Source organism: Homo sapiens, chromosome X (genome assembly GCF_000001405.40).
Source record: "Homo sapiens chromosome X, GRCh38.p14 Primary Assembly".
NCBI lineage: Eukaryota > Metazoa > Chordata > Mammalia > Primates > Hominidae > Homo > Homo sapiens.
The window spans coordinates 24,217,425-24,225,027 of NC_000023.11; positions in this window are offsets into that span (position 1 = coordinate 24,217,425).

The following is a 7,603-nucleotide window of genomic DNA, read 5'->3' on the forward strand; positions in this document are numbered from 1 at the left end:
TGGGTTCAGGGATTTTCTTTTTCAAACATCAAATGTAATTCATGTGTCTACACCAGTATATGGGAGAGTTCGTTCCCCTCAACCTTACAAACAGTGGGTGTTACAGCTAATCTCACAGGTTAAAAAAAGAATATGTCATTGCTGTTTCAATTTGCTTTGACTGGACTCCTAGTGGGGTTTAATACTTGTATGTATATAATAGCACTTTAAGTTGTCGCTCTGATAAACTGCCTATTCAAATCCTGTGCCCCATTTTCTATTTGGAGTTCTTTGTACATTAAGCCTATTAACTTTCCAATACATTTGCTGCACATTTTTGTAGTCCATGATTTATCTTGTTATTGCTTATGTAATCTTTTCATATATAAAAATCTTTAATATTTGTGTAATCAAATGTTTTTTTCCTTTATGATTCCTAGTGTTTCTTGTTCTGCTTAAAAAGGTCTTTTCCATCGCAAAGTTCTACAAATATATGCCTAGATTTTCTTCCTATATTTTTATTGTTTTGTTTGGATTTTTATGTAATTAAAATTATTTTGTTTAGCAGATCCAATGGTGATTTTAAAAATTATTTTGAAAAAAAAAATTACCTGGGCAAGGTGGCATGCACCTGTTGTCCCAGCTACTCTGGAGACTGAAGTGGGAAGATAGCTTGAGCCCAGGAATCCAAGGCTATGGTGAACTATGATCGTGCCACTGCACCCCAGCCTAGGTGACAGAGTGAGACCCCATCTCAAAAAAATTTTTTTAAAATGTATTGTTTGGTAGGGCATCTAATTTCTGTTTTCTCTTGGATAGAGAGCCACCTATTCCAGTACTGTTTATGAAGTCACCCTTTACCCTCATGAGCCGAAATGACACTTTATGTTGTCATCATATATGTCCTTGGATTTATTTCTGAAGTCTATTTTGTTTTACTGATGTTTGTCATTTTTGTGCCAATGTCATATTGTTTTTCTCACAATAGTCTGGTGAACCAGAAGGCAAGTCCCTCTTTAGTTCTTTTTCATAGTTTTCTTGACACTTATTCCATAGGAACATGAAAATCATTTTACCCAGTTTCCCTTAAAAGCCTCATTGGGATTTTTGATTCAGATTGCATGCATTTTGTTTGTTTTTTTGAGATGGAGTCTCACTCTGTCGCCCAGGCTTGAGTGCAGTGGTGAGATCTCGGCTCACTGCAACCTCCACCTCCTGGGCTCAGACGATTCTCCTGCCTCAGCCTCCCGAGTAGCTGGGATTACAGGCATGCTCCACCACGCCCAGCTGATTTTTGTATTTTTAGTAGAAACGGGGTTTCACCATGTTGGCCACGGTGGTCTTGAACTCCTGACCTCAGGTATCTGCCCACTTCGGCCTTCGAAAGTGCTGGGATTACAGGCGTGAGCCATGGCCCCCGGCCGAGACTAATACTAATTAGTTTGCATATTAATTTAACTCTAGCTCTAAAAAATAAACTTGGAAACTTTTCTACAATCTCCAATAGTTTAAAAACTGGAAGCATTATCTAATCCTTGAAGATTAGATAGAACTCAGTTGTGAAAGCATTTGGGTCTGATGCCTTTTTATAAATAGTAGGTCTTGGGGCCAGGCGGCGGTGGCGCACGCCTGTAATCCCAGCACTTGGAGGGCGGATCACTGGAGGTCAGGAGTTGGAGACCAGCCTGGCCAACATGGTGAAACCCCGCCACTACTAAAAATACACAAATTAGCTGGGTGTGGTGGTTCGCCCGTGGTCCCGGCTACTCTCCGGGAGGCTGAGGCAGAATTGTTTGAACCTGGGAACCTGGGCGGCGTTGCGGTGAGCCAAGATCGCGCCATTGCACTCCAGCCTGGGCAACAAGAGCGAAACTCCGTCTCAATCAATCAATCAATAAAATAAAATTGGGAGGCCTTTACTTTTCCGATCTCTTCTACATTAATTAGCCCATCAGCTTTTCTTCTTAAGATTTGGTATCTTTGAAAATCATCCATTTTCTCTAGATCCATACTTCTCATGTTGTTAATGTGCATATGCATCATCCGGGGTATGTTGTGAAAATGCTCATTCTGATTCAGTGAGTCCAGAGTGGGGCTTGTGACTGTGCACTTCCTGCAAGCTCCCTGGTGATATTGACGCTGTGGTCCATGGACCACGTGGTCCAAGCCCTGGAAGAATTCAGTGGTTCTCGATTTCGGTCATAGAATTACACGGGGCAGCCTTTGAACTTCCCAGAGCCCGGTGGGAATGGGTCTCAGACAGTAATTTTTCAAGTTCCTCAGGTGATTACAATGTGCAGCCAAGATGTGAACCACTCTTCTAGATTTGCAGTTTATTGCCATAGAGATACAATATTTTCTTACTATTTAATAATCTCATTCTCTCGCATTTCTGGTTGCATCTCCTTCCTCATCTTAAATGTTATATGTTTTGTTTTCTGTCATATTTCTTTTTTTTTTTTTTTGAGTCGGAGTCTTGCTCTGTCGCCCAGGCTGGAGTGCAGTGGTGTAATCTCAGCTCACTGCAACCTCTGCCTCCCGGGTTCAAGAGATTCTCCTGCCTCAGCCTCCAGAGTAGCTGGGATTACAGGCACACGCCAACATGCCTGGCTGATTTTTGTGTTTTTAGTAGAGATGATGATTTACCATGTTGGCCGGGCTGGTCTCGAACTCCTGACCTCAGGTGATCCGCCTGCCTCAGCCTCCCAAAGTGCTGGGATTACAGGTGTGAGCCACTGTGCCTGGCTCATATTTCTTTAAGTGGCTTTCAGAGGTTTTGCTATTTCATAGGTGGTGTCAAAGAAACTGCTCTTTTGTTTATATTTTTTGGTTTTCTACTTAATTTTATCTTTCGTTGTTACTTTTTTTTTCTCTCTTTTTTTTTTTTTTTTTTTTGAGACAAGGTCTCACTCTGTTGCCAAGGCTAGAGTGCAGTAGTGTGATCACAGCTCACTGCAGCCTCGACCTCCTGGGCTCAAGTGATCCTCCCACCTTAGCCTCCCGAGTAGCTGGGACCACAGGCACGCACCACCATGCCCAGCTAATTTTTGTATTTTTTTGGTAGAGACAGTGTCTTGTCATGTTGCCCAGGGTGGTCTCAAACTCCTGAACTCAAGCTATCCACCTGCCTCCCCCTCCCAAAGTGTTAGGATTACAGGTGTGAGCCACCCTGCCTGGCCTATTTTCTTTTCCTATTTTCTTCTGGTATATTTTACTATCTAATTAAAATGTCTGATGTTTTGTATTTCATTAATTTTCATTTATTTTTAAAGGAAATCCTTGAAACCTGTGTATTTCCTTTGGTATACAACTTTAGCTATAGGCCATTGTATATGAATTGTCCTTTTTTGTATTCTAGATAGTTTTACATCTGTTTTGATTTCCTATTTAAGTAGAGTTTAACTTTCAAGTAGTAAACATTTTTATTAATCCCTTTAGCCTTGATCTCTAGTTTTGTTGGTCTGAGTTCAAAGTATGGCCTGTATAACCTCTACATTTTTTTTTGGAATTTTTGAAGTTTTCCTTTTCGGCAAGACATAATTTTTTTGAAAATACAACACAGATATAGTATAACATCTTTACATTTATAGGTATAAACTTATAGATAAAACTGAGCTTGTTGATTATTCAGATCCTTTATATCCTATATCCTTGCTATTTTTTGACTACTTGAGTTTTTTTGTTTGTTTTTTTCTGAGACAGGTTCTCGCTGTGTTGCCTAGGCTGGTCTCAAACTCCTGGGCTAAAGCGAGCCTCCCACCTAAACCTCCCAAAGTTCTGGGATTACAGGCATGGGTCACCGTGCCTGGCGACTATTTGATTTTTAATTTTTGAAAAAATATCAAAATATCTCACTATAAGGGAGTTTTATGGAGTTTCCTTGTACTTAAAGTTTTGCTTTATATAATTGGTTTCTATCGATTTTTGTTTCATAGATGTTTGACAGATCTTATTTATGATTGTACCTTTTACAGGATATTTTTGTCCTCTTTAACGTATTTGGTCTTGAACTCTACTTTGATATGTGTTTTCTATTTCAATCCTTTCTTATGTCTTATATTACAAATTCTGTTATCATAATTTATTAGACATAAGTGTACACTGCAGAATTTTTGGCTACTGCTGTTTCTTGTCCATTTCATCTTTCCCCATTTGACATCTCTGTGCTGAATAAATTTTCATTTGGTTGATGTATACTTCGTTTGTTCCTTCATATTTGGTATGTGGGTGTATATTCTTTCTAAAACCTTGACTACCCCAAAACATCTATTTTTGCCTTGACAAATGATCTTAGTAGGTATAAACTTCTGTTCACAGTCTCTTTTCTTTCACAGTTTATAGATGTTTCATTGTTTTCCAACTTTAGTGTTATGAGAACTCCAATGCCTCTTCCTTTGTTTCCTGAAGTTCATATGAATTTTCCTTTGTCTTTGGAACTCAGAAAGGTCACTAGAATCTATCTAGGGGTGTGTGTGTGCACGTGTGTGTTTGTGTGTACTTCTAATCACATCTGGGATTTGTTATTTGCTGATTCCTTTCTTTCTGTTAAGTCTCTCTTCAGCTAAAGAAGTTTTCTTACATCTTGTGTGTAATTATTACTTATCATACTGGCATTTTGCTTCTTCGGGAATTCCTATTTTTCACATATAACATCTCCTGGATTTGTCTTGTCATCATAAAATGGCACCAAGAAGAAAGAATCCCTTTAATCCCGTGCCCCAGCGTGTGATCATTATTGTACCGAAAAATTTAAATGTTTGAAAGGGATGTCTCTTGAAGAGAGAAGGTATGTCCCCAGTGGTGGGATTGCTGAAAGAAAAAAAGAAAAAAAAGAAAAAAAGAAGCAAGAGAGTGATAGTCTGTAAATGTGCAACCTGTCCTGATGGAGTAACAGTGCTCTTGATTTATTTCTCCCTAGTAGAAGGAACTTCAGCCAGAAATTTCCTTTCATAGAATAACAGCATTCTGAGTACCTTCTTTGCCTCAACTTTAAATAAAGAAGCATGTAAAAAAGTCTTAATGCTAGGTACACAGTGCTGAATAAGAGTTCTCCATCTCTTCCTTTCCCTATACGTTACACATTTTGTTAAATGAGCAAGAATGAGAGCATTGTTGTAGCAGACATCACCACTGTCCCTGAATGTCATTCCTGATCTTATTCAAATTTAACATGTGTGAACAAATGTGAACCTGAGAGAGCCAATCATTCAAGACGGATCCCCAGTGGCTAACTGGGCCTAAATTTAAAATAGATGTGAACCAACTGGTATAGGAAAAAAAAAAAAAAAAAAGGAAAAAAACTGTAAAAATAAAACAGAGCCAAGCAGCCATTTGCTGACTAGAGGTCACCCATATCCTCTGAATTCCCCCTAAATCCACACCTCTGTTCAACTTTGGGACTCCAGAACTCACCTGAATCAACTAATCAGAGCATACCTGCCTCAGTCAATCAGGGCTCAGCTGTATCAACCAATCAGAACTCAGCTTCACTGACCAATCAAAACTAAGTTTCAGTCCTTTATTTGCATGAACAGACCAGATTGGGAACTTGGTCGAGAACTTTTGCTATGAGACCGTAACCCTGTTTTTGTTCTCTGGAAAACACCTTTGTTTTACAGGGAAGCCTTCCTCTCCCTAGTTTGCAAACCATGCACTGAAATAAAGTATCTTTCCTCCAAATTCCTTTCCAGAGAACTTTTGTTCACATGTGCAGTCCTAAGCTTTGTTTCAAAATGGACCAATTTACACTCTTCACAGCAAAATTGGAAAATATTGAGTTTTGGTGAGGATGTGCAGCAATGAGAACACGGTAATATTGGCACACTTTTAAGTTTTGCCAATTTTGTGCATGTAAAAGAATATTATATTGAGATTTTAATGAACATATCCCTAATTATGAATAATATTGAGCATCTTTTCACATATTTATTGGTTATTCACATTTCCTCTTTTGTGACAAGCCTATATTGGTTTTTTTTTTGGCCTATTTTCTATGAATGGCCCATTTCTATTGGATCACTTACATTTTTCTTGTTGATCCATAAACATCTATATCTCTATCTATCTATCTATCTATCTATCTATCTATCTATCTATCATCTATTTTAAGAGACAAGGTCTCACTATGTTGCCCAGGCTGATCTCGAACTCCTGGGCTCAATCAAAGAGCTGGGATCACAGGTGTGAGCCACCATGCCTGGCCCCTTTATATAGTCTTGATATTAGTCCTTTGTCAGTTATATGTAATTTTATTTATTTAGTTAGTTAGTTTTTGAGTCAGGGCCTTGCTCTGTCGCCCAGGCTGGATGGAGTGCGGTGACGCAATCTTGGCTCACTGCAACATCTACCTCCTGGGCTCAACCACCCCTCCCACCTCAGCCTCCCGAGTAGCTGGGACCACAGGTGCATGCCACTACGCCTGGCTAATTTTTCTATTTTTTTCTTTTTTGGTAGAGATGGGGTTTTGCCGTGTTGCCCCGGCTGGTCTCAGACTCCTGGGCTCAAGTGATCCTCTTGCCTTGGCCTCCCAAAGTGCTGTACAGGTATGAGCCACCACACCTGGCCATACATGTAATTTTAAAATCTCTGTAAATATCTTCTCTTGGTCTGTGGCTTGCCATTTTACTCTATTGTGTCTTTTGATTAACTTAAGTTCATCATTATAACCTGGTAAAATTGGTATCTTTTCCTTATGATTAATGCTTTATGTGTCTTAAGAAATCCTTCCTGATAGTAATGAGGTTATTCTCTGATATTAGTTTTTTAAAGCTCTGTAGTTTGACTTTTCATACTTATGTCTTTATCCTGAAACGGATTCGATGTGGATTATAGTGTGAGTTAAGCATTCACTTTAACGTTTTTCAACTTCAACTTCATACAGTTCAACTCTTTATTGAAAAAATCAATACTTGCCCACTAATTTGCAGAGCCAGCTCCATGATATATAAAATATTCCTGTGTAAGTGGATCTGCTTCTAGGATCTCTGTTTTGTTCCATTTGTCATTTGTCTTTCTCTGTAACTGTGCCCCATAACTTTTTTTGCAGGGGCGGGGGAGGATGGAGTCTCACTCTGTCCCCCAGGCCAGAGTGCAGTGGTGTAATCTCAGCTCACTGCAACCTCCACTTCCCGGGTTCAAGTGATTCTCCTTCCTCAGCCTCCCGAGTAGCTGGGACTACAGGCACGCACCGCCACCCCCAGCTAATTTTTGTGTTTTTAGTAGAGACAGGGTTTTATCATGTTGGCCAGGCTGGTCTCGAACTCCTGGCCTTAAGTGATCTACCCGCCTCAGCCTCCCAAAGTGCTGGGATTACAGGCATGAGCTAGTGCACCTGGCCCCATCATGGCTTTTTAAAACAATCTTTACTGGGATATAATTCACGCACCGTAAAATCCAACCATTTAAGGTATACAATTCAAATTTTAGTATATTCACAGAATTGTCCAACCATCAACATGATCTAAGTTTAGAATATGTCATCACTCTCAAAAGAAATTTCATACCCAGTGCCGGTTGCGGTGGCTCACGCCTGTAATCCCAGCACTTTGGGATGCTGAGGCGGGCAGATCACCTGAGGTCAGGAGTTCGAGACCAGCCTTCCCAACATGGCAAAACCCCTCTCTAC